This window comes from Homo sapiens, chromosome 6 (assembly GCF_000001405.40).
Source record: "Homo sapiens chromosome 6, GRCh38.p14 Primary Assembly".
NCBI lineage: Eukaryota > Metazoa > Chordata > Mammalia > Primates > Hominidae > Homo > Homo sapiens.
Window position 1 is genome coordinate 73,447,562 of NC_000006.12, and position 26,426 is coordinate 73,473,987.

General features: G+C 45.4%; 2 protein-coding genes and 1 pseudogene across 8 annotated transcripts in view, besides 8 other annotated features; 2 read left to right on the top strand and 1 right to left on the bottom strand.

Annotated features, from left to right (window-relative positions):
* Window positions 1-4,736, bottom strand: part of CGAS (cyclic GMP-AMP synthase) — a 28,587-nt gene extending 23,851 nt beyond the window's left edge. For both annotated transcript variants that reach the window (NM_001410911.1, NM_138441.3), the window contains exon 1: window positions 3,964-4,736. In NM_001410911.1, coding sequence (NP_001397840.1) covers window positions 3,964-4,620 — 657 coding nt within the window. In that variant the 5' untranslated portion in view covers window positions 4,621-4,736. The remainder of the gene's footprint in view (window positions 1-3,963) is intronic.
* Window positions 4,158-4,367: a silencer, noted in NCBI's record as "silent region_17333". NCBI's record gives its function as "represses an Ori minimal core promoter by ATAC-STARR-seq in GM12878 lymphoblastoid cells {active_cell/tissue: GM12878}" and the evidence as "EXISTENCE:reporter gene assay evidence [ECO:0000049][PMID:35858748]".
* Window positions 4,538-5,017: an enhancer, noted in NCBI's record as "active region_24743". NCBI's record gives its function as "activates an Ori minimal core promoter by ATAC-STARR-seq in GM12878 lymphoblastoid cells {active_cell/tissue: GM12878}" and the evidence as "EXISTENCE:reporter gene assay evidence [ECO:0000049][PMID:35858748]".
* Window positions 13,677-13,736: a silencer, noted in NCBI's record as "silent region_17334". NCBI's record gives its function as "represses an Ori minimal core promoter by ATAC-STARR-seq in GM12878 lymphoblastoid cells {active_cell/tissue: GM12878}" and the evidence as "EXISTENCE:reporter gene assay evidence [ECO:0000049][PMID:35858748]".
* Window positions 14,169-15,014: an enhancer, noted in NCBI's record as "NANOG-H3K27ac-H3K4me1 hESC enhancer chr6:74171453-74172298 (GRCh37/hg19 assembly coordinates)". NCBI's record gives its function as "activates a minimal SCP1, AML or CMV promoter by ChIP-STARR-seq in naive and primed H9 embryonic stem cells {active_cell/tissue: H9 hESC(naive and primed)}" and the evidence as "EXISTENCE:reporter gene assay evidence [ECO:0000049][PMID:30033119]".
* The window catches only part of MTO1 (mitochondrial tRNA translation optimization 1), a 47,500-nt gene continuing 35,249 nt past the window's right edge, over window positions 14,176-26,426 (top strand). For all 6 annotated transcript variants that reach the window (NM_133645.3, NM_001123226.2, NM_012123.4 and 3 more), the window contains exons 1-4: window positions 14,176-14,510; window positions 18,648-18,847; window positions 18,928-19,045; window positions 25,804-26,093. In NM_133645.3, coding sequence (NP_598400.1) covers window positions 14,294-14,510; window positions 18,648-18,847; window positions 18,928-19,045; window positions 25,804-26,093 — 825 coding nt within the window. In that variant the 5' untranslated portion in view covers window positions 14,176-14,293. The remainder of the gene's footprint in view (window positions 14,511-18,647; window positions 18,848-18,927; window positions 19,046-25,803; window positions 26,094-26,426) is intronic.
* Window positions 14,187-14,516: an enhancer, noted in NCBI's record as "active region_24744". NCBI's record gives its function as "activates an Ori minimal core promoter by ATAC-STARR-seq in GM12878 lymphoblastoid cells {active_cell/tissue: GM12878}" and the evidence as "EXISTENCE:reporter gene assay evidence [ECO:0000049][PMID:35858748]".
* Window positions 14,587-14,646: an enhancer, noted in NCBI's record as "active region_24745". NCBI's record gives its function as "activates an Ori minimal core promoter by ATAC-STARR-seq in GM12878 lymphoblastoid cells {active_cell/tissue: GM12878}" and the evidence as "EXISTENCE:reporter gene assay evidence [ECO:0000049][PMID:35858748]".
* Window positions 14,667-14,716: an enhancer, noted in NCBI's record as "active region_24746". NCBI's record gives its function as "activates an Ori minimal core promoter by ATAC-STARR-seq in GM12878 lymphoblastoid cells {active_cell/tissue: GM12878}" and the evidence as "EXISTENCE:reporter gene assay evidence [ECO:0000049][PMID:35858748]".
* Window positions 16,512-16,616, top strand: RNU6-975P (RNA, U6 small nuclear 975, pseudogene; annotated as a pseudogene).
* Window positions 24,601-24,670: an enhancer, noted in NCBI's record as "active region_24747". NCBI's record gives its function as "activates an Ori minimal core promoter by ATAC-STARR-seq in GM12878 lymphoblastoid cells {active_cell/tissue: GM12878}" and the evidence as "EXISTENCE:reporter gene assay evidence [ECO:0000049][PMID:35858748]".

Sequence of the window (26,426 nt, forward strand, 5' to 3'; positions counted from 1 at the left end):
CGTGAGCCACCATGCCTGGCCAAAGTTTTCAATTTTTATTTTTTAGAGATGGGGTCTCTAGGCTGGAGTACAGTGGCTACTCACAGATAGATCATAGTGTACTGCAGCCTCAAACTCCTGACTTGATGTGATTCTCCCACCTCGGCCTCCCAAATAGCTGGGACTATCAGAATGCACCAATGGACCTAGGTTTGATATTTTTGATGATATTCTAAATGGTATTTTCATTTTGTTTTTAATCTTGTTAGTATATTGAAATATTTTTATTTTTGTTTATTGACTTTGCAACCAGCAATTTTGCTAATTTACTAATTATTTCCAACAGTTTATATGTGAAGCCAATCAAGTCATCTACACATAACGATTTCATCACTCTTTTTCCCATCTTATGCCTTTATTTTCCTTGTCTTGCTGCATCAGCTGTATGTATTCCTTTACGTTCTTTTTGTTGTTGTTCAACATTATTTATGTAATTCATTTTCACTGTTCATGTTGCTGTAGTTTGTTCCTTTTCTTTACCAGTTAATATACCATTACTTAAAACCACTGGCCGGGCACAGTGGCTCACGCCTGTAATCCCAGTACTTTGGGAGGCTGAGACGGGTGGATCACCTGAGGTCAGGAGTTTGAGACCAGCCTTACCAACATGGAGAAACCCCATCTCTACTAAAAACACAAAAAATTAGCCAGGCATGGTGGTGCATTCCTGTAATCCCAGCTACTCGGGAGGCTGAGGCAGGAGAATCGCTTGAACCTGGGAGGCAGAGGTTGCAGTGAGCTGAGGCCACCCACGCCATTGTACTCCAGCCCAGGCAACAAGAGTGAAACTCTGTCTCAAAACAAAACAAAACAAAAAACAAACAAACAAAAAAAACTACAATTAATTGATTTCTATGTAACCTTTTCACTGAGTCCAAACTATATAAATAGTAAAGTACATTAACACTTAGAATGAAAAGAACATATGGACTGACAATTCTACAGGGAATTTCTACAAGAAACTTCCCATGTATTTTCGAGATTTTTTTTTACCTAGAATTTGTAGTCCCAGGTAGCTGGGACTACCTGTGTGTGCCACCACATCCAGTTAATTTTTAACTTATTTTTGGTAGAGCTGGGGTCTCACTATGTTGTCCAGGCTGGACTCAAACTCCCGCCTCAGCCTCCCATGGTGCTAGGATCACAGGCATGAGTCCACTGTACCTGGCCCACATATATCTCATAATCAGTAATAGAAAAAGTTTTAGGCTGGGTGTAGTGGCTCACGCCTGTAATCCCAGCACTTTGAAAGGCTGATGCAGGTGGATCACTTGAGGTCAGGAGTTCGAGACCAGCCTGGCCAACATGCTGAAACCTTATCTCTACTAAAAATACAAAATTAGCCAGGTGAGGTGACGCCCGCCTGTAATCCCAGTTACTCTGGAGGCTGAGGCAGGAGACTCACTTGAACCCGGGAGGCGGAGGTTACAGTGAGCCAAGATCACATCACTGCACTCCACCCTGGGTGACAGAGCAAGACTCCATCCCCAAAAAAAAAGAAAAAAGAAAAAGAAAAAAAGAAAAAGTTTTAGATAAAACAAATTTCACTGGATTTCTTTTCATTGGCATAATTTTTAAAAACAAAGTGGTTCTGGGCTGGGCATGGTGGCTCCCACCTGTAATCCCAGCACTTTGGGAGGCCAAGGCGGGAAGATCATGAGGTCAGGAGATAGAGACCAGCCTGGCTAACACGGTGAAACCCCGTCTCTACTAAAAATACAAAAATTAGCTGGGCATGGTGGCGGGCGCCTGTAGTCCCAGCTACTTGGGAGGCTGAGGCAGGAGAATGGTGTGAACCCAGTAGGCAGGGCTTGCAGTGAGCCGAGATCGCGCCACTGCACTCCAGCCTGGGTGACAGAGTGAGACTCTGTCTCAAACACACACACACACACACACACACACACACACAAAGTGGTTCTGAATGGAGACTGTCTTCTGAATGTCTTGTTCTCTAATTCTAACTAGTAACTTTCTTTTTCCTTTGGACCCGCCATATACAGTAATTGAACTGAATTGATACTTACATAATAAGAATCATGCTCAATCAGAGACATATCTGATGCTGAAAAGTAAATTAGTTAATTAAAAAGAATCATGCTCAAGACACAGTCTGGGCTGGGTGCCGTGGCTCAAGCCTGTAATCCCAGCACTTAGGGAGGCCGAGGCAGGTGGATCATCTGAGGTCAGAGTTCGAGACCAGCCTGGCCAACATGGTGAAACCCCGTCTCTACTAAAAATACATAAATTAGCCGGGAGTGGGGGCAGGCACCTGTAATCCCTGCTATTTGGAAGGCTGAAGCAGGAGAATCGCTTGAACCTGGAAGCCGGAGGTTGCAGCGAAACCTAGATGGCACCACTGCACTACAGCCTGGGCAACAAGAGTGAAACTCCATCAAAAAAAGAAGAAAGAAGAAAGAAAAGAAAGAAAGAACAAAATAAAGAGAGAGAGAGAGAGAGGAAGAGAGGGAGGGAGGAAAAGAGAGAGACAGAGAGATAGAGAGAAGAGAAGAGAAGAGAAAAAAGAAGAGAAAAGAAGCCGGGTGTGGTGGCTCACGCCTGTAATCCCAGCACTTTGGGAGGCTGAGGCTGGCAGATCACCTGAGGTCGGGAGTTCTAGACCAGCCTGACCAACATGGAGAAAGCCCGTCTCTACTAAAAATACAAAATTAGCCAGGGTGGAGGCTCATGCTTGTAATCCCATCTACTCAGGAGGCTGAGACAGGAGAATCGCTTGAACCTGGGAGGTGGAGGTTGAGGTGAGCTGAGATCGCGCCATTGCACTCCAGCCTGGGTAACAAGAGCGAAACTCCGTCTCAAAAAAAAAAAAAAGAAAGAAAGAAAGAAAAAGAAAAAGAAACAAATCTCTTGCTGGGCAAGAAACACGCTCCAGTCAGGAACCTGCTTCTAAACTTTCAATTTACACAGGAATGATTAATGACTCAATCACCCACAAGCAAATGGAGCTGTGTAATACACACGTCGAAGCAATTATACGGAATGTGTATCTAGAAAGCGTTTTAGTATCTGTAGGAGATATTCTTATTTGTTTGTTTAACATTATACTGTAAGCTTCCCATGATTTCTGTGTAAGAAACTGGGGACAGACGGCCGGGCGCGGTAGCTCACGCCTGTAATCCCAGCACTTTGAGAGGCCGAGACGAGCGAATCAAGAGGTCAGGAGATCGAGACCATCCTGGCTAACACGGTGAAACACCGTCTCTACTAAAAATACAAAAAAAATTAGCCGGGCATGGTGGCGGGCGCCTGTAGTCCCAGCTACTCGGGAAGCTGAGGCAGGAGAATGGCGTGAACCCGGGAGGCGGAGCTTGCAGTGAGCCGAGATAGCGCCACTGCACTCCAGCCTGGGGGACGCAGCGAGACTCCGCCTCAAAAAAAAAAAAAAAGAAAAGAAAAGAAAAAAGAAAAAAAAGAAATTGGGGTCAGACGGGATAGCAGGAGAGGGGGCAGGGAGGAAGAGGGGGAGAGAAACTGAAGATCTTTTTTTCTATGGAGTAAGAGGTCTTCCTCATAGGAAAAAGTCTACGTGGAATTTTTAACAGACCACTTCAAATTATCCAAGTCAATATCTGACTCGGGACCTCAGGTCCACACCATCAAACACTGCCCTGTTACGGAAACTCGATACATGTCGGCTTGCATGAATGAACCCATACATTTGAATTCCCCCGGGAGCAGTGTCTTGAAATTAGCCAGCAATCAGTACCGGTTGGTTGTCTGATCGTTGGATGTGTAGATGAATAAACGAACGGTTTGTCGTTTTACTTAGACTAGGCTACCGAAAAACATGCAAAAGTCTAAGTTACTTCCGAAGGGAAGTGAGGGGCGCGACCCGGGGAAGGTAGGGACTGCGGATTGCGGAAGGCCGAGCAGCGGGGCTCGGCGGGAGGGCGCCAAGCAGCTCACCTTCACGTGCTCATAGTAGCTCCCGGTGTTCAGCAGCCCGACGCCTCTGAACGCGGAGTCGCACTTCAGTCTGAGCAGCAGGTGGTCCACAACCCCTTTCACCATCCCCGCCGCCGTGGAGATATCATCGCGGCTGAGCTTCAACTTCTCCAAAACCGCCCGGAGCTTCGAGGCCCCAGGCGCCGCATCCCTCCGTACGAGAATGGGGGCCGAGACCGGCAGGCCGGGGCTGGGCACGTCCCAGGGCCCGGGCGGAGGTCTTGGCTTCGTGGAGCAGCGCGCGCCCCTCTGGCGGCAAGAACCAGCCCTGGAAAGAGCCGGCTCCCGAGCCGCAGGAGGCTCCAGCCCCTCTGCCCCAGGGGCGCTGGTGGCGTCAGACGGCTGCGTGTCCTGGGCGCGCTGAGGGGCCTTTTTGGCGCGGGCCCCAGTTGCGCGGACGGGCGGCCTCTCCTGGGTGTCCGGGGCGCTCTTTTTCTGCCGGGATCCCGACTTCCTGGCGGGGCCGAACTTTCCCGCCTTAGGCAGGGCGGCCTCGGGGGCAGCCGGAGACTCGGTGGGATCCATCGGGGCGCCCCTGGCATTCCGTGCGGAAGCCTTGGGGGCAGTGGCTCCGGCCTCGGAAGCTCTCTGCATGGCCTTTCCGTGCCAAGGCTGCATGGCTGGCGCTTTCTGTTCCCCGAAAGAAGAATCCGTTTCAGGAAAAGGCCGCAAGAGGAAGAGCCAGCAGCAGCTGTTGGAAACCAAGCACTACTGGCGGGCACACAAGAGTCTGCGACCCGAAGGGGAACCCCAGGCTGGGAAGTCGCTGGGAGCCACGCCCATGCCGCGAAGAGGCTGGCCGCGGCCTTTCCTGAGGCTACAAAAGTCTCGAAGTTTCTAACTCTCCAGGCAATCCGTGCCCCTGTCTTAAGAAGATGAGGTAGGGCCGGGCGCGGTGGCTCACGCCTGTAACCTCAGCATCCGAGAGGCCGAGGCAGGCGGGTCGCTTGAGCTCAGGAGTTTGAGACCAGCCTGGGCAACCCAGCAAGACCTGGTCTTTCTTATAATTAAATATATGTGTGTGTGTGTGTTGCCTGGGCACACTGACTCACGCCTGTAATCCCAGCAATCTGGGAGACCGAGGTGGGCGGATCACCTGAGGTCAGGAGTTCAAGACCAGCCTGGCCAACAAGGCGAAAGAAACCCCGTCTCTACTAAAAAATACAAATATTAGCTAGGCGTGGTGGCGGGCACCTGTAATCCCAGCTACTCGGGAGGCTGAGGCTGGAGAATCACTTGAACCCGGGAGGCGGAGGTTGCAGTGAGCTGAGACGTGCCACTTCACTCCAGCCTGGGCGACAGAGCGAGACTCTGTCTCAAAAAAGAAAAAGAGGCCAGGCGTGGTGGCTCACGCCTGTAATCTCAGCAGTTTGGGAGGCCGAGGCGGGCGGATCACGAGGCCAAGACATCGAGACCTTCCTGGCCAACATGGTGAAACCCCGTCTCTACTAAAAATACAAAAAATTAGCCGGGCTTGGTGGCGCCTGTAGTCCCATCTACTCGGGAGGCCGAGACAGAGAACTGCTTGAACCCGGGAGGCAGAGGTTGCAGTGAGCCGAGATCGCGCCACTGCACTCCAGCCTGGGCAACAGAAAAAGAGTCCATCACAAAACAAAACAAAACAAAACAAAAACATTGACAGAGAAACTTTTCTCTTTCAAGTGAAAGTTTTTTTAAATTTAATTTTGGTTTGAGTTAGGGGGGCGCAATCTCGGCTCACTGCAACCTCAGCCACCAGGGCTCAAGCGATCCTCCCACCTCAGCATCCTGAGTAGCTGTTACTACAGGTGCGGACACCATGCCCAGCTTTTTCTTTTCTTTTTAATTTTTTTGTATACATGGGGAGGTCTCACTATGTTGCCCAGGCTGGTCTCGAACTCCTAGACTCAAGCGATTCTCCCTCCTCAACCTCCCAAAGTGTTGGGATTGTAGGCATGAGCCACTGTGCCCTGCCACAGAAACTTTTTCTTTTCTTTTTTTTCTTTTTCTTTTCTTTCTTTCTTTCTTTTTTTTTTTTTTTTTTTTTGAGACAGAATTTCGCTCTTGTCACCCAGGCCGAAGTGCAATGGTGCGATCTTGGCTCACTGCAACCTCTGCCTCCTGGGTTCAAGCAATTCTCCTACCTCAGCCTCCCGGGTAGCTGGGATTACAGACGCCCGCCACCACGCCCGGCTAATTTTTCGTATTTTTAGTAGAGACGGGGTTTCGCTATGTTGGCCAGGCTGCTCTCAAACTGCTGACCTCAAGTGATCCACCCGCCTCGGCCTCCCAAAGTGCTGCGATTACAGGCGTGAGCCACGGCGCCTGGCCAGAAACTTTTCCCTTTTTTTTTTTTTTTTTCCTGAGATGGAGTCTCATTCTGTCCCCTAGGCTGGAGTGCAGTGGCACGATCTCGGCTCACTGTAACCTCTGCCTCCCGGATTCAAGCGATTCTCCTGCCTCAGCCTCCGAAGTAGCTGGGACTACAGGTGTGCGCCGCCATGCCCGGCTAATTTTTGTATTTTTAGTAGAAAGGAGTTTCACCATATTGGCCAGGCTGGTCTGGGACTCCTTATCTCGTGATCCACCTGCCTCGGCCTCCCAAACTGTTGGGATTACGGGCATGAGCCTCAGCGCCCGGCCAACTTTTTCAATGTAAATTTAAATAGGGTTTTTTAAAAATCAATAAGAAATAAAATAATAATTTTTAAAAAGAAAAAAATTAATAACAAATGAAAAATACTTTGAAAAAAGAAAAAAATAAGAAAGAGAAAATATTCAACTTTTACAAGATGGAATGAAACAAAGATTGACTGCAATTGGAGTAAATACTTCTATTTGACATTTTTTAAAAAGCACAGAAAATCTTTAAAATGTTGTGTAAAGTTTCTGCCTGGTGCGGTGACTCACGCCTATAATCCCGGCACTTTGGAAGGCGAAGGTGGGTGGATCACTTGAGGTCAGGAGTTCAAGACCAGCCTGTCCAGCATGGTGAAAACCCATCTCTACTAAAAATACAAAAATTAGCCAGGTGTGGTGGGCCATGCTTGTAAACCCAGCTACTGGGGAGGCTGAGACGGGAGAATTGCTTGAATCGGGAAAGCGGAGGTGGTAATGAGCTGAGATCAGACCACTGCACTCCATCCTGGGCGACAGGGCAAATGACTCTGTCTCAGGGGGAAAAAAAGTTGTGTAAAGTTCTCTCTTTTTATTTTATTTTATTTTATTCATTTTTGAGACGGAGTTTTGCTCTTGTTGCCCAGGCTGGAGTGCAATGGTACAATCTCAGCTCACCACACCCTCCGCCTCCCGGGTTCAAGAGATTCTCGTGACTCAGCCTCTTGCGCAGCTGGGACTACAGGCGTGCCCCACCATGCCCAGCTAATTTTTGTATGGTTTTGTAGAAATGTGGTTTCACCATGTTGCCCAGGCTGGTCCCCAACAAGCTATCTGCCCGCCTCAGCCTCCCAAAGTGCTGTTACTGGCATGAGCCACTGCACCGGACCTGGCATTTACATTTTAAATCATTCATACTGCTTCAGCTGTTGTGATTCTAGAGTATCTCAATACAGGCTTTCAAATATCTTTTTTTTTTTTTCGAGATGGAGTTTCACTTTTGTTGTCCAGGCTGGAGTGCAATGGTGCTATCTCGGCTCTCTGTAACCTCCGCCTCCTGGGTTCAAGCGATTCTCCTGCCTCAACCTCCTGAGTAGCTGGGATTATAGGCGCCTGCCACCACACCCAGCTAATTTTTTTACCTTTTTAGTAGAGACGGGGTTTCACCATGTTGACCAGGCTGGTCTCGAACTCCTGACCTCAGGTGATCTGCCCCCTTTGGCCTCCCAAAGTGTTGGGATTACAGGCGTGAGCCACCTTGCCTGGCCTTCAAGTATCTATTTCTAAAGCCCCTGATAGAAATGCATATTAGAGGTCAGGCGCAGTGGCTCATGCCTATAATCCCAGCACTTCAGGAGCCCTAGATCTTCTGAGATCAGGAGTTCAAGACCAGCCTGGCCTACATGATGAAACTTTGTCTCTACTAAAAATACAAAAAATTAGCCGGGTGTGATGGCACATGTCTGTGATCCCAGTTACTCGGGAGGCTGAGGCAGGAGAATAGCTTGAACCCAGGAGGCAGAGGTTGCAGTGAGTGAGATCCTGCCACTGCACTCCAGCCTGGGCAACAGAATGAGACTCTGTCTAAAAAAAAAAAATAATAATAATAAAAGAAATGCATATTAGACAAGAACCTCTTGGGTTTAGAAAGCCTTGACTACTTTTTTTTTCTTTGTACTATTTGAACCATTTTTGGGGGGTGTATAATTCAATGATATTAAGTATGTTCACATTCCTATGCAACCATCACTATCATCTGTCTTCAAAACTCTTCATCTTGCAAAACTGAAACTCTGTACCCATAAACAATAACTCATCTTTCTCTCCTCTCTCTAGCCCCTGGCAACCACCATTATACTTTCTGACTGTGATTTTGACTGCTCTAAGTACTTTATGTCAGTGAAATGATGCAACGTTTGTCTTTTTGTTACTGGCTTATCACTCTTAGCCAATGTTCATCTATGTTGCAAGAATTTCCTTCCGTTTTAGGGCTGAATAATATTGCTTTGTATGTATATATCACATTTTGTTTATCCATTCACCTGTCAAAGGACAAAAATGCCTTACTTTTTAAAAAGATTTCCCTGAAACAAGTATTTTTATATATCCTTCTGTTAAGTTCAAAGAGATTTTTACCACCCTGGAGCAATGAGCCGTAGTTTGAATTAGGATGCCAGAAAGGTGTATTTTTCTCTTGTGAAATATATAAGGAGGAGAAATAGAAGGAGGACCATTGCATAGTCAGACTTGTTCCCAAGCCAGCCAATTTCAGGGAAGAGTAAAATGGAAGTTGAAATGTGGAAATCCATTTCCTTGAAACTGCAAGAGCTGTCCAGGTGTGGTGGCTCATGCCTGTAATCCCAGCAGTTTGGCAGATCCACACAGGCAGATCACCTGAGGTCAGGAGTTCAAGACCAGCCTGGCCAACATGGTGAAACCCCATCTCTACTAAAAGCACAAAAATTAGCCAGGTGTGGTGGTGCATGCCTGTAATCCCAGCTACTTGGGAGGCTGAGGCAGGAGAATCGCTTGAACCCAGGAGGCAGAGGTGGCAGTGATCTGAGATCATGCCAATGCACTCCAGCCTAGACGACAGAGTGAGACTCTGTCGCCAAAAAAAAAAAAAAAAGAAAAAAGAAAAAAAAAAGAAACTACAAGTGCATCTGGATAGTCTTCCAGGATGTTCAGGGGTAACTACCACATTCTGAGGGCCTCTGCTCTATGGTTCTGTTTGTTTTCTCCAAGGACTTCAGCTGCTTGTCATGAAATCCTGTAAATGACTCTACAGTTAGTTTAGTGCTCTCTTCCGGGCTGGGTGCAGTGGCTCACTCCTGTAATCCCAGCACTTTGGGAGGCTGAGGCGGGCAGATCTCAAGGTCAGGAGTTCGAGACCAGCCTGGGCGAGATGGTGAAACCTGTCTCTACTAAAAATACAAAAATTAGATGGGCGTGGTGGTGGGCCCCTGTAATCCCAGCTACTCCGGAGGCTGAGGCAGGAGGATTGATTGAACCTGGGAGGTGGAGGTTGCAGTGAGCCAAGATGGCGCCATTGCACTCCAGCCTGGGCAACAGAGCAAGACTCCATCTCAAAAAAAAAATACATAAAAATAAATGCTCTCAGCCGGGCGCGGTGGCTCACGCCTGTAATCCCAGCACTTTGGGAGGCTAAGGTGGGTGGATCACCTGAGGTCGGGAGTTTGAGACCAGCCTGACCAATATGGTCTCTACTAAAAATACAAAAATTAGCCTTGCGTGGTGGCCGGCACCCATAGTCCCAGCTACATGGGAGGCTGAGGCAGGAGAATTGCTTGAACCTGGGAGGCGGAGGTTGCAGTGAGCCGAGATCACGCCACTGCACTCCAGACTGGGAGACAGAGCGAGACTCCGTCTCAAAAAAAAAAAAATAATAAAATAAAATAAATGCTCTCTTCCATCAGTTTCTAAAGTCCCCTTAAGTCACTGGTGGTTTCTTTAACCAGAAGCTGCAAGCAACAATCCACTGGGCCAGATCAAATATCTCTACTATTGGCCTACCAAAGGAGGAGAACTCATTCTTTATTCAACCTTTCTGCAGCAATCAGTGTCCAAATCACAGAGAAAATGACTGTTTAGTTGAGTCTTGATGTGGAACTTGGATTTTATCTAGTAGGAAACCCCAGGAAATTTATTTGTGGGTATATATTTTATCTAGTTGACTTTACCACTTCTTTTTTTTTTTTTTTTCTGAGACAGCATCTCACTCTGCCACCCAAGCTGGAGTGCAGCAGTGCAATGTCAGCTCATTGCAGCAATTCGTACCTCAGCCTCCCAAGTAGCTGGGATTACAGGCACACGCCACCACCCTGGCTAATTTTTGTATTTTTAGTAGAGATGAGGTTTCACCATGCTGTCCAGGCTGGTCTTGAACTCCTGGCTTCAAGTGATATGCCCACACTGGCTTCCCAAAATGCTGGGATTACATCTTACTCTGTATGCCTCATGTTTATCTCTAGTCAGCCTTGGGTATGAGAACATCTGGTAGAGCCTACCTCAGTCATAAGCCCAGAAAGTGATCTCCCTGTGACTTTGGAGCCTTGACCTATCTATAACCTGTCCACAGCCTTCTAGACAGAGAAACTAAAATTCCCACCTTGCCTGCATACAGCTGCCTGGGCCAGAGAATCATACCCCAGAAGCTGATCCTTTTGCAAGCCCCTCTGTGAAGCCCACCTGTGGCCCAGGAGGTCTACACAGAGCTGCTTCTTCCTCTGTAAACCCCCCACTTTGCACTGCACATGCTTTCTAAAGGCTTTCTGTACTTGAGATATGAACGCCTTCCCACTTTAATTTTTGGATACTTTCCCTCATCCCTAAGGTATCATCTAGAGTTTCCTTATGTCTTATTGTTATTTTTTTTGGATAGAAAAGTGTTCATGATTATTAAGTAAAGAATAGATTACAAAACAATGCACACACTATGATCTAATTTTTATTAAAAAATATTTAACCGAAGTTGCAGAAAGCGAAAAAAAAAATTTAAAGAAAAAAATATCAAAAATAGGCTGGGAGCAGGGCTCACACCTGTAATCCCAGCACTTTGGGAGGCTTTAGGCCAGGAGTTCAAGACCAACCTGGGCAACATAGTGAGACACTCCCTCCCTCAACCCCATGTCTACAAACAAACAAACAAAAAACAACAACAAAGAAACCAAATTAGCCAGGCCTAGTGTCCACCCACATCTGTGGTCCCAGCTATTTGGGAGATGGAGGTGGGAGGATCACTTGAGCCCAGGAGGCGGAGGTTGCAGTGAGCCATGATAGCGCCACTGCACTCCAGCCTGGGCAACAGAAGGAGATCCTATTAAAAAAAAATAAAGAAAAGAAATAATGTTTACTGTTTTTTGTTTTAAGGGTTTTTGTTTTGTTTTTTTGAGACAGGGTCTCAGTCACCCAGGCTTGAGTGCAATGGCACCATCTGGGCTCACTGCAACCTGTGCCTCCTGGGTTCAAGCAATTCTCCTGCCTCAGCCTCCTGAGTAGCTGGGACTGCAGGCACGCAGCACCATGCCAGGTTAATTTTTCTATTTTTAGTAGAGATAGAGTTTCGCCATATTGGCCAGGCTGGTCTCAAACTCCTGGTGGACTCAAGTGATCCGCCACCTTGGCCTCCCAAAGTGTTGGGATTACAGGTGTGAGCCACCACTCCCGGCCTATGTATTTAATACTTTTTATAATTAGAACAATAAAACTGCCACACTGTAGGGAGACCCCTGAAACTATTGCTACGGAATAAAAGATGAAATGCTCCTGATTATTGTAAATACAAAGTTGCATGCAGGATTGTGTAAAGAGAATGCCAGGTTGGACTGCCAGAATGAGCCAACAGCGGGTGATGTGCTTCCCCCTGCAGAGAGCCTATGAACGGACGTGCATCACCAAGATTCCTATCCCAGAAAAGCAGATGTTCATAGCTCTGGGAATGGAATGCAACCCTTGTGGAAAGCCTCTAAACGGACGCATGAGGGGCGCCTGTCCCTGTGGGTAAGATAGGGCTATAAATGCCCTCATCTTGCCACGGCTCTTCTAGGCCTTTTTAGGGTTAAGGCATACTCCCTTCTGAGAATTTCTGGTCTAACTGATTGTCTAGCTTCACATCCTGTTTCTATGGATTGTTTGTAACCAGCTTTTGCTGCAACTGTTACTGCTGATTAATATCTTGCTAATCATAGGTTATGGAAAGACTGTTTCTGTTTTAAGGCTCTGTTAGAAATTACTGATGCACACAATATATTGTAAATTCTTATCTCTGTATACTGTACTTCTGCATACAGATGTTATGTTAAAGAATTACTTCATCCCCATGTGACCATCTCACCTCATAATCAAATGACCCTAAATCCCTCACTAACCTACCCCTGCCCTCACTAAACTTAATAATAAATGCTGGTATATCCAGTGTATTAGCAGCATTGCAGGACCAGAAGGCAGTGACCCCCCTGGACCCAGCTTTCAATATCTTCTGTGTGTCTATTATTTCTCGACCTGCCAATCCGCCTGGGAACAAAGAAAGAGCCCCATTGCATTGTGGGCTGCTGGCCAGATCCTGCAATACCACACTTGTTTTATTCTCCAGTCAAACGTTGCCTTTCTGAGAAAGGCTGTGAATTGAGAAAGGCTGTGAATTCCAAAAGGCTGGACATTTAACCTCCAACCAACCGATTCTTCTAATTAACCAATTAGCCATCATGAATCTCTCTCTCTCTTTTTTTTTTTTTTGAGACAGAGTCTCACTCTTGTCGCCAGGCTGGAGTGCAGTGGCACGATCTCGGCTCACTGCAACCTCTGCCTACGGGTTCAAGCAATTCTCCTGCCTCAGCCGCCCAAGTAGCTGGGACTACAGGTGCATGCCACCACACCTGGCTAATTTTTTTTTTTGTATTTTAGTACAGACGGGGTTTCACCATGTTGCCCAGATTGGTCTCGAACTCCTGAGCTCAGGCAATCTGCCCCCTTCGGCCTTCCAAAGTGCTAGGATTACAGGCGTGATCCACCATGCCCAGGCACCATCATGAATCTTTCAGTCCACAAATATATTTGAACTCCTTTCGAATCTATTCTTTTTCTTTTCTTTTTCTTTTTTTTTTTTTGAGACGGAGTCTTGCTCTGTCGCCCAGGCTGGAGTGCAGTGGCACAATCTTGGTTCACTGCAACCTCGGCCTCCCAGGTTCAAGCGATTCTCCTGCCTCAGTCTCCTGAGTAGCTGGGATTACAGGTGCATGCCACCACTCCCGGCTAATTTTTTTTTTTTTTTTTTTTTTTTTTTTTTTTAGTAGCGATGGGGTTTCACCATGTTGACCAGGATGGTCTCCATCTCCTGACCTTGTGATCCACCTGCTTCGGCCTCCCAGAGTGCTGGGAATACAGGCGTGAGCCACCGCGCCCGGCCCGAATCTATTCTTATTTTCAGCCCTTAGTTTTTATAGACAAACAGAAGGTGACGGTGTATCAGATTGTCAGATCACAAAGATCTGATAAGGCAAAGTGATCAAATTCATTGATCGTAGGTGGCCACCTGGCGATAAGGACTGCAGGGCCTAAGAAAGTACAAAAGATGACCTTTAGTAGGAGCTCCCAACCCAGAACCACAGGAAATCAAAAAAAGCCCGCACGGGCGGATCACGAGGTCAGGAAATCGAGAACATCCTGGCTAATACGGTGAAACCCAGTCTCTACTAAAAATACAAAAAATTAGCCGGGCGTAGTGGCGGGCGCCTGTAGCCCCAGCTACTCGGAGGCTAAGGCAGGAGAATGGCGCGAACCCGGGAGGGGGAGCTTGCAGTGAGCCGAAATCGCGCCACTGCATTCCAGCCTGGGCAACAGAGCGAGACTCTGTCTCAAAATAAATAAATAAATAAATAAATAAATAAATAAATAAATAAATAAATAAATAAATAAATAAAAATAAAAAATAATAATAATAAAAAAAGCCCGCACGAACTAGGAAAGAAAATACACAACCGGCCCTCCGTGCGATCACCCATCTCCCTCACCAGGAAAGTAGCTCCAAACCGCCAATCAGCGGCGACGCTGGACGTAGACGTCCTACCCCGTGATATTAAAGCAAGATGGCCGCGCCCTGCAGATTGTCTCTTGTTGCGTAAGTTTTTTTGACCGTCACTCGTGTCAGCTTCAAAGTCAGATAGATTTTTCTCCCAGCATGTTCTACTTCCGAGGCTGTGGCCGTTGGGTCGCGGTTTCCTTCACCAAGCAGCAATTTCCGTTGGCACGGTTGAGCAGTGACAGCGCGGCGCCCCGGACTCCGCACTTCGACGTGATAGTCATTGGTGGAGGACATGCCGGGACTGAGGCAGCCACCGCCGCCGCTCGGTGCGGCTCTCGGACTCTGCTCCTCACTCACCGCGTGGACACGATCGGTGAGGAGCGCGGGTGCTGTGGAACTTGGCGTAGGACGCAGGCTGCTTCCTTCCCGCCTCCCCCGGTCTGAAGCGGGGGACCTCTTCCTTTCCTCAAAGCTAGTGAGAATCCTACCTTCTGTGGTTTTAGCCTCGATCAGTGTCTCGCAAGGATCAGGCGGGCCAGGCCAGAACTCTATATTAGTCTATTCTGCGAACCATAGATTATGCTGCTGCTGACAGTCGTCCGTTGTAGGAGGTTGGGGTTCGGGGTCAGTGCCTTGGGAAAGGGAGCTACCAACTACTCGCTGGTAGCTTCTTAGTTCATTGCTGCGTTTACCTTCTACTATGTTACTCCAGATAAAGGGTGAATTAACATTATTAACAATGGTTTATGGCCAGGTGCAGTGGCTCACTTCTTTAATCCCAGCACTTTGGGATGCCAAGGCAGGTGGATCACCTGAGGTCAGGAGTTTGAGACCAGCTTGGCCAACACGGCGAAACCCCGTCTCTACTAAAAATACAAAAATTAGCCGGGCATGGTGGCGGGCGCCTATAATCCCAGCTACTCGGGAGTCTGAGGCAGGAGAATCGCTTGAACCCGGGGGCAGAGGTTGCAGTGAGCCGAGATTGCGCCACTTCACTCCAGCCTGGGCAAAAGAGCAAAACTCCGTCTCAAAATAATGATAATATTAATAAAATAAAAAAATCCTTTATTAAACGGTTCTTGTGTTTTTATTTAAAAACATTTTTTTAGAGACAGGGTCTCGCCATGTTGCCCAGGCTGGAGTGCAGTGACTACTCATAGGCACGATCGTTGCACATTACAGGCTCCGCTTTCTGGACTCAAGAACTTTTCCTGCCTCTGCCTAACCAGTAGCTGGGATTGCAGGTGCTCAGTACTCTGCCCAGCCTGATCTTTGTGTTTCTGTCAAGATTTTGTGATGCCTTTTGGAAGAACCATGCTACCTTTTTTTTTTTTTTTTCTTTTGAGACAGAGTCTTGCACTGTCACACAGGCTCAAGTGCAGTGGCGCCATCTCGGCTCACTGCAAGCTCCGCCTTCCGGGTTAATGCCATTCTCCTGCCTCAGCCTCCCGAGTAGCTGGGATTACAGGCACCCACCACCACGCCCGGCTAATTTTTTTTTTCTTTGTATTTTTAGTAGAGTCGGGGTTTCACCATGTTAGCCAGGATGGTCTCGATCTCCTGACCTTGTGATCCGCCCGCCTCGGCCTCCCAAAATGCTGGGATTACAGGCATGAGCCACCGTGCCCAGCGCCATGCTACCTTTTGCATCCTATATTCCTTCTGGGTTGTCGTCCCTGGATTTTGTGTTTAGTACTGGACAGTACTTTTTTTGCTCTAATGGGTAATGGTTGGATGGCCGTTCTGTAGCATCATGATAGATACTAGCTAAAACATCAACTTGTAAATTATGTATACTTTTGTCTTTCCTCCTTCCTTTTGCTTAGGAGCGAGCAGTAATTAGAATATTTACTTGTTTTGTAAAAGTTGTGAATAAATCACTTATTTATTCCTGAAATTCTTCTTTAAAATAACCATTCAGCTCATAACTGTGAAGAAATATATACTATTAACTGCGGTTTTGTGGGTGGGGGAGAGGAGGCTATATGATTTCCTAAAAGATTATACTTTTCTCATCATACATTCAGGTGGGTTTTTTCTTTTCTTTTCTTTCATTTTTGAGACAGAGTTTTGCTGTTGTTGACCAGGCTAGAATGCAGTGGCGCGATCTTGGCTCACTGCAACCTCCACCTCCCGGGTTCAAGCGATTTCCTGCCTCAGCCTCCCAAGTGGCTGGGATTAGAGGAGTCTGCCACCACGCCCAGCTAATTTTTTGTATTTTTAGTAGAGATGGGGTTTCATCATGTTGGCCAGGCTGGTCTCCAACTCCTGACTTCAGGTGATCCACCCGTGTCAGCCTCCCAAAGTGCTGGGATTACAGGTGTGAGCCACCACACCTGGCCTGTTGTTTATATTTTTAAAAAATAAAGACCTAGTGCTTGCTTTGGCAACAACATAAACTAAAGTTGGAATGATATAGGGATTAGCATAGCCCCTGCACAAGGATGATGCACAAATTTGTGAAGTGTTCCATATTTTTAAAAAATAATAATAAAATAAAGACCTAGGCCAGGGGTGATTACTCACGCTTGTAATCCCAGCATTTGGGGAGCCCAGGAGTCTTCTATTTCAAAGGAAGAAGGAGGAAAATAATCTACCACAGCTGTCATTCCTGTTTTTACAGTAGAGAGACTAAGGTATGTTAGGTAACTTGCCATGATCACAGAGCTCATAAGTGGTAGGTCTAGAAATTGAGCCAGATATCTCTTTCACACACACTCCTCATAATGACACTTCATGCTCATAATCACAGTGCTATCCAGTCTCCCTGTGGAGACCATTAAAACTTGTGGAGGTCTTGTCTGGGCATGGTGGCTCATGCCTGTAATCCCAGCAGTTTGGGAGGCAAAGGCGGGCAAATCACCTGATGTCGGAAGTTCGAGACCAGCCTGACCAACATGGAGGAACCCTGTCTCTATTAAAAATAGAAAATTAAACACCCAAGAATGATCAATAAATACTAAAAAAAAAAAAAAAAAGAAAGAAAATTAGCCAGGCGTGGTGGCGTATGCCTGTAATCCCAGCTACTTGGGAGGCTGAGGCAGGAGAATCACTTGAACTCGGGAGGTGGAGGTTGCAGTGAGCTGAGATCGTGCCATTGCACTCCAGCCTGGGCAACAAGAGCGAAACTCTGTCTCAAAAAAAAAAAAAAAAAAAAAAAAAACTTTTGGAGGTCTTGATTCTTGATGTGGTGGCAGTGGATATGTGGATATTGACATAACTTGCCCATCCCTCCACCTCCCACAAAAACTTTTGAGGTAACCACATGGGTTTAGACCTCCAGGTAAGACTGGGTAAATGTAAGGGAAAGGTATAAAATATGGTCTTCACTCACAAGAAATTTGTAATTTAATTATATTTAATTCTGCAAAGTAAGTGCAAAAAGGAGATATCAGATGGCATTTATGGAAGACATAATTGGTTGTAACTGAACCAGTGCCAAGGGGCTTCTTTGTTTTTTCTTTTTTCTTTTCTTTTTTTTTTTGAGATGGAGTCACTGTTGTCACCCAGGGTGGAGTGCGATGGTGCCATCTCGGCTCACTGCAACCTCAGCCTCCCAGGGTCAAGCGATTCTTTTGCCTCAGCCTCCCAAGTAGCTGGGATTACAGGTGCAAACTGCCATGCCTGGCTATTTTTTTGTATTTTAGTAGAGACGGGGTTTCACCGTGTCGCCCAGGGTGGTCTCAAACTTCTGAGCTCCAGCAATCCACCCTCTTTGGCCTCCCAAAGTGCTAGGATTACAGGCGTGAGCCACCACACCCGGCCCTGTTTTTTATTTATTTATTTATTTTTGTCCTTATTTATGTTGAAGGACTAGGGACTTCTTACAAGTGTGCTTGATTTGGTAGATTCCTCTGGTGCTGTATCAAAAAAGAACAAATTTAAAAACCAAGTATACTTGGTTTAGAAAGGTTTCATGGGGTAAGGATTACATGTTTGAAAGGAAAAGGCAACCTAGTGAAACAGTAAAAATATGCATCAAGGAAGAGATTCAAAAGAAAGTTCAGGCCGGGCGCGGTGGCTCACGGCTGTAATCCCAGCACTCTGGGAGGCCGAGGTGGGCAGATCACCTGAGGTCAGGAGTTTGAGACCAGCCTGGTCGACATGGTGAAACCCGTCTACCAAAAATACAAAAATTAGCCAGGCGTGGTGCCGGACACCTGTAATCCCGGCTACTCGGGATGCTGAGGCAGGAGAATCGCTTGAACCCAGGAGGCAGAGGTTGCAGTGAGCCGAGATTGTACCACTGCACTCCAGCCTGGGTGACAGAGTGAGACTCCATCTTAAAAAAAACAAAAGGAAGTTCAGGAAGTGGTTTGTCATCCAGGTTGCCCTGGACACTTTTGCATCCCATTGGGTCTTTGGGATTTTCTTTGTAGTATATCTTTCACGTTTTCTATTTTTTATCATATGAGATGATTATAGTCACCTGTATAAATGTTTCCTTATTAAGTAGTCACTATGTGCAAGGTGCTCATATATTTATTTTGTTTATGTCTATTATCTTTAGGTCAGATGTCATGTAATCCTTCCTTTGGTGGCATCGGAAAGGGACATTTAATGAGGGAAGTAGATGCCTTGGATGGCCTGTGTTCTCGCATCTGTGACCAGTCTGGTGTACATTATAAAGTATTAAACCGGCGTAAGGGACCAGCTGTGTGGGGTCTGAGAGCTCAGATTGATAGGAAACTCTATAAACAGAACATGCAGGTAAGAATAGGGCATGAGCACAGGAAAGATTATAGTGATTGTTTAATTACCATGTTTCAACTGGCATTTTCTTTTGACAGAAAGAAATCTTGAATACACCACTGCTTACTGTTCAGGAGGGAGCTGTAGAAGATCTTATTCTTACAGAACCAGAGCCTGAACACACTGGGAAATGCCGTGTCAGTGGGGTTGTTTTGGGTACGTATTGGTTATAGATGGTGTATGATAACAGCATATCAAATTCCATGTGAGAAATTTATTTTAGAGCAAAGTGTGGAGATATGTTGCTTATTCAAGGAACTTGTTGCATTTTCTCTACCTGGATGAGGAAAACTATATAAATAAATATGTTTCTCTTTTCATCTTGGCATTTATGATGCTCAGTCAAATTCTAGGCTCATCAGTACCATGTTCCATCTTAGTGTAGAACTTTGTAATCTGCATATTTATGTCTCCCTCTCTCCCCATCTTTCTATTGTAATTTCTGTTTTTTCTGGTTCTGACTTTAATTTTTTAAAAAATTCATATTTTAACAGCTTATATATATTTTTATGTAAAAGAGTTATGTATGTTTTTTATCAAAATAACTCATGCATATAATTTTTTCTTAAAATATTAAAAGGGTCTGGGCATGGTGGCTCATGCCCGTAATCCTAGCACTTTGGGAGGCCGAGGTAGGTGGATTGCTTGAGCCCCAGAGTTTGAGACCAGCCTCGGCAAGATGGCAAAACCTCATGTCTACAAAAAAATACAAAAATTAGCCGGTGTGGTAGCAGGTGCCTGTAGTTTCAGCTACTCAATAAGCTGAAGTGGGAGGATTGCTTGAGCCCAGGAGGTTGAGACTTCAGTGAGCTGTGATTATGCCACTGCACTCCAGCCTGGGCAACAGAGTGAGACCCTGTGTCAAAAAAAAATAAAAAATAAGTTTGGGTGTAGTGGCTCACACCTGTAATCCCAACACTTTGGGAGGCCAAGGCAGGCAGATCACCTGAGGTTGGGAGTTCAAGACCAGCCTGAACAACATGGAGAAACACATCTCTACTAAAAATACAAAATTAGCCAGGTGTGGTGGCGCATGCTTGAAATCCCAGCTACTCAGGAGGCTGAGGCCAGAGAATCACTTGAACCCAGGAGGCGGAGGTTGTGGTGAGCCGAGATCACACCATTGCTCTCCAGCCTGGGCAACAAGAGCGAAACTCTGTCTCAAAATAAATAAATAAATAAATAAATAAATATAAAAGAAATTTAGAAATTTATGTGGGAAAACAACCATCTCCTTCCCTGGAGACAGACACTTCAGCTTTTTTAGTTGTCACTTATTGTATATACTTCCATATTTCTGAATAGCAGGCTTATCTTTTTACTTCCTAATTTACAGTTCTAGACATTATCTATTAACTTTTTTTGTTTGTTTGTTTTTGTTTTTGTTTTTGAGACGGAGTCTCACTCTGTGCCAGGCTGGAATGCAGTGGTGCGATATCGGCTCACCACAACCTGAGCCTCCCGGGTTCAAGCGATTCTCCTGCCTCAGCCTCCTGAGTAGCTGGGACTACAGGCACGTACCACCATGCCCAGCTAATTTTTGTATTTTTAGTAGAGATGGGGTTTCACCACGTTGGCCAGGATGGTCTTGTTCTCCTGACCTTGTGATCCACCCGCCTCGCCCTCCCAGAGTGCTGGGATTACAGCTGTGAGCCACCGCACCCAGCCATCTATTAACATTTTTTGAGACAGAGTCTGGCTCTGTTGCCTAGGCTGGAGTGCAGTGGTACCATCTTGGCTCACTGCAACGTTCCCCTCCCAGGTTCAAGCAATTCTCCTGCCTCAGCCTCCCAAGTAGCTGGGGTTACAGGCGACTGCCACCATGCCCGGCTAATTTTTTGTATTTTTAGTAGAGACAGGGTTTCACCATGTTGGTCAGGCTGGTCTTGAACTCCTGACCTCAAGCGATCCGCCCACCTCAGCGTCTGAAAATGCTGGGATTACAGGCATGAGCACTGTGCCCAGCCTATTAACTTATTATTATGGTAATTCTCTTTAATGTCCAATTTTCCTTCCCTCTCTCCTTCTGATATAATTATACCGTAATTTTTGGTTGATAGTATTTACATTATTGACTAAGTATTGTTTACTGCATGGAAGTGTATTATGTTTGTCCCTTTCTTATGCTTGGTTTTGCCTTGAGTTAATAATTGCTTTATTTTATTTATTTATTTTGAGACAGAGTCTCACTCTGTCACCCAGGCTAGAGTGCAGTGGTACGATCTTGGCTCACTGCAACCTCCATCTCCCAGGTTCAAGCAATTCTCCTGCCTCAGCCTCACGAGTAGCTGGGATTACAGACAGCAGCAACCACGCCCAGCTAATTTTTGTGTTTTTAGTGGAGACAGGGTTTTACCATGTTGGCCAGGCTGGTCTTGAACTCCTGACCTCAAGTGATCCGCCTACCTCCACCTCCCAAAGTGCTGGTATTATAGGGGTGAGCCACCACACCTGGCCTTCTCCAGATTTTTTAGTTCTGTTTATGTGTTTGGGCTGCTCTCTTTCATGTACACAACTTCCTTTAAGTATCTAGCGAACTTTGGTTTTCTGTTGACTTCTTTGCGTTTTTGGTTTTGGAGACAGGGTCTTACTCTGTCACCCAGGATGGAGTGCAGTGGCACTATAATCGCTCACTGTAGCCTCCACCTCCCAGAGGTGATCCTTCCACCTCAACCTCCCAAGTAGCTGGGACTATAGGTGTACACTACCACACCCAGCTTATTTTCAATTTTTTTGGAGACGTGGGATCTCCCTATGTTGCTTCCCTGTGTTGCCTAGACTGGTCTTGAACTCCTAGGCTCAAGTGATCCTCCCACCTCAACCACCCAAAGTGTTGGGATTACAGGCATGAGCTGCCATGCCCAGCCTGTTACATTTTTAAATGAGGCACTAGGTCGGGCATGGTGGCTCACGCCTGTAATCCCAGCACTTTGGGAGGCTGAGGCGGGCGGATCACTGAGGTCAGGAGTTTGAGACTAGCCTGGCCAACATGGTGAACCTGTCTCTACTAAAAATAAAAAAATTAGCTGGGCGTGGTGGCATGCACCTGTAATCCCAGCTACTCAGGAGGCTGAGGCAAGAGAATCGCTTGAACCCAGGAGGCGGAGGTTGCAGTGAGCCGAGATCGTGCCACTGCACTCCAGCCTGGGCGACAAGAGTGAGACTCCATCTCTAAATAAATAAATAAGGCGCTAAAACACTTAACTGGAAGATTTGTGTGTACACAGTTAATTTTATTGCCTGGCTGATTCTGGTGGTGATTAAGACTTGAACTGCTGGACACGGTGGCTCACGCCTGTAATCCCAGCACTTTAGGAGGCCGAGGTGGGTGGATCACCTGAGGTTGGGAGTTGAAGACCAGCCTGACCAACATGGAGAAACCCCGTCTCTACTAAAAATACAAAATTACCCAGGTGTGGTGGCACATGCCTGTAATCCTAGCCACTCGGGAGGCTGAGGCAGGAGAACCACTTGAACCCTGGAGGTGCGGGTTGTGGTAAGCCGTGATAGTGCCACTGCACTCCAGCCTGGTAACGAGCAAAACTCCGTCTCAAAAAAAAAGAAAAGATTTGAACCAGCCTTTTGGTTTGGTGAATTCTCAAATATCAATGTCTGTTAGTTCTCAGAAGAATCAGTTTTCCACCTAAGAGAGTAATATGGCTACCCACTAGCGTTCTGGGAACAAAATGGTAAGAGAGGCTGTGCCAGGGAGTGTCATCTTTTATTTTATTTTATTTATTTATTTATTTTTATTTTTTCTTTTTATTTATTTTTGAGACAGAGTCTCACTGTGTAGCCCAGGCTGGAGTGCAATGGCGTGATCTCGGCTTACTGCAACCTCTGCCCCCCAGGTTCAAGCGATTCTCCTGCCTCAGCCTCTCGAGTAGCTGGGACTACAGGCACGTGCCACCATGCCCGGCTACTTTTTTGTATTTTTAGTAGAGATGGGGTTTCACTGTGTTAGCCAGGATGTTCTCGATCTCCTGACCTTGTGGTCCGCCCACCTCGGCCTCCCAAAGTGCTGGGATTACAGGCATGAGCCACCGCGCGTGGCCCAGGAGTGTCATCTTTTAAAATACATATCTTAATTCCCATTTTCATTTTTATTATAGATTTATTAATTTTCTTGATTGGGAAATACATACTTAGGGCCAACAACTTAAAGGCTACAAAAAGCATATAGAGTGAAAAGATAGTCTGTCTTAGCTGGGCATTATGGGCATTATGTGATTATGGCTCACACCTATAATCCCAGCACTTTGGAAGGCCGAGGCAGGTGGATCACCTGAGGTCGGGAGTTTGAGACCAGTCTGGCCAACATGGCGAAACTCGTCTCTACTAAAAATACAAAAATTAGCCAGGCATGATGGCTCACGCCTGTAGTCCCAGCTACTCAGGAGGCTAAGGCAGGAGAATCACTTGAACCTGGGAGATGGAGGTTGCAGTGAGCTGAGATCTTGCTACTGCACTCCAGCCTGGGTGAGAGAGCAAGAGTCTGTCTCAATAGAAAAAAAAAAGATAGTCTGTCTCCTTCACTTTGTCCCCTCAACCAGCCAGTTTTCTTTCTCAGGAGCATTTGCTTTGTTAATCTGTTGTGTGGTCTTTCTACCTAGGCATATGTACATGTCTTCATGCATATGTATATGTATTTTTTGTTGTTTTCACAAAATCGTAGCATATTATACACACTGTTCCTCTGTACCTTTTTTTAAAAAAAAAACTTAATCTGTGTTTGCTTTGCTTTTGGAGGCCATGCTTTTTTTTTTTAAGTTTGTGGGTTTGTTCCGATGGTTACCTTAAAAGCTATGATTTTATATATAATATAATATGCTCACTGACTTCCCTCAAGTAACAATTACTAAATTAGTTTTACTTTCATTTCCTTTTCTCCCCCGACTTTCTTTATTTTCCAGATTTAATGGTTATATTGTTTTTATTAGTATTTATGTTTATACCCTTAAATTGTTTATTTTTTTATTTTTGAGACAAGTTCTCTCCCTCTTTCTTAGGCTGGAGTGCAGTGGCATGATCACAGCTCGCTGTAGCCTCGACCACCTGGACCCAAGTGATCTTCCTGCCTCAGCCTCCTGTGTAGCTGGGACCACAGGCATGTGTCACCACCCCTGGCTAATTTATTATTTTTTTTTGTAGAGATGGGGGTCTCACTATGTTGCCAGGACTGGTCTTGAACCCCAGGGCTCCAGTGATCTTCCTGCCCCAGTCTCTCAAAGTGTTCATATTATAGTCATGAGCCACTGAGCCTGGCCGATTTAATTTAATATCTTTAAATGCTATTTTGTGATCCTGTCCATATTTTATAGGCCCAACAATAACAATTTTTTTGTGGTAAAATATACAAACCATAAAATGTACCATTTTAACCATTTTTAAGTGTACAATTCAGTGCTATTAAGTACATTGACAGTGTTGTGCACCCATCACCACCAACGGTCTCTTGAACTTTTTCATCATCCCAAATTAAAATTCTGTACCCATTAAACAAAAAGTCCCCATTACCTGAAGAATAAACCTCCATTTTACTGTAAGGTAGAGCTATCTGAGGACAAAACCTTAATGTGTAAATTTCAGCTGTTTCTTTCATTTTCTGTTCCAAGTTTCATTTCTACATTCCTCCTCAGTTCTTATTCTCAGTTCTCTAATTTCTGAGCCTTTGCAGGGCAAATTAGTTCATTCTCATTGATATATCTTCTCTTCAGATATTAATACTTAAGTTATAGCTATCTCCCCTCTGCTAGATGAGTTACCATTCTTCCAAACACTTTCTATCTTTCAAAAATACATTGAAATTTCTCATCTTCTGACTGGTTCTTTTTCATTACTTGTCCTTTTGGTTTTATACCTTTTTTATTCCCCTATTTAATTTTCTTTGAGTTTTAGAAGGGAGAAGAAATGAGAGGTTGTATGCCATATTTATCCTGAAGTCTAAAATTAATTAATTTTTTAAATTAATTGAGACTAACTTTTTAGTGCTGATATGATTTTAGGTACATGTGAATTGGTGATAACACATTGTATTCTCTCTCCTAGATTGCTTAGATTGAGATTGATAACATATTAGCCTTCTTACTCATTTAAAATTCTTTGTCTGGGGTAGGGGAAATGGGAAGATACTGCTCAAAGGTTATACATTTTCAGCTGTAAGTTGAATAAGTTCTAGCAATCTAGTGAGCAGTATGGTAACTGCAGTTAATAATAATGTATGATATACTTGAAATTTGCTAAGGGAGTAGATCATAAGTGTTCTCACCACACAAAACGTGTAACTATGTGAGGTGATGGTTATATTAATTAGCTTGATTATGGGTATCATCACAGAAGGTATACTTGTATCAAAACACCATGTTGCATACTCTAAATATATACAGTTTTTTATATGTCTGTTATATGTCGATAAGTCTTGAAAAAACAAAAATATTAAAAAAGATTCTCAAGTTTTTAAAGACTGATAGTTTTTCTGTAGTTGTAATGTAAAATAGTCACATTCCATTTTGATCCATGGTAACAATTTAAAAAATGACTTTAGGCCGGGCGCGGTGGCTCACGCCTGTAAGTAATCCCAGCGCTTTGGGAGGCAGAGGTGGGTGGATCACCTGAGGTCGGGAATTCGAGACCAGCCTGACCAACATGGAGAAACCCCATCTCTACTAAAAATATAAAACTAGCTGAGCGTGGTGGCGCATGCCTGTAATCTCAGCTACTCGGGAGGCTGAGGCAGGAGAATTGCTTGAACCCGGGAGGCGGAGGTTGCAGTGAGCGGACATTGCACCACTGCCCTCCAGCCTGGCGATAGAGTGAGACTTCATCTCAGATAGATAGATAGATAGATAGATACATAGATACATAAATACATAGATACATAGATAATGACTTTATTCTTTTTTCTTGTTATTTAGTGGATGGAAGCACAGTATATGCAGAGAGTGTGATTCTGACTACTGGGACATTTCTGAGAGGCATGATTGTAATTGGATTGGAGACGCATCCAGCAGGACGTTTAGGGGATCAGCCTTCTATAGGATTGGCTCAGACACTGGAGAAGTTAGGGTTTGTGGTGGGAAGGTTGAAGACTGGGACTCCACCCCGAATTGCCAAAGAGTCCATTAATTTCAGTATTCTAAACAAGCATATACCGGACAATCCATCCATACCATTCAGCTTTACCAATGAGACAGTATGGATTAAGGTAAGATACTTTACGAAAACCTGGCTTACAGCTGGTATTGGCTATTCACAGCAGGAAGTACTGTAACTTTTTTTTTTTTTTTTTGGCAGCAGTTCACTTTATAGCACTATTGCTTATAGTGCAAAGAAATGATTTTTTTTTTTTTTTTTTGAGATAAGGTCTCACCTTGTCACCCAGGCTGGAGTGCAGTGGTACAATTATGGGTCACTACAGCCTTGACCTCCTGGGCTCAAGTGATCCTCCCACCTCAACCCCCTTGAGTAGCTGAGACCATAGGCATGAGCCATTGTGCCTGGCTTTTTAAAATTTTTTTGAGAAATGGGGTTTCACTAT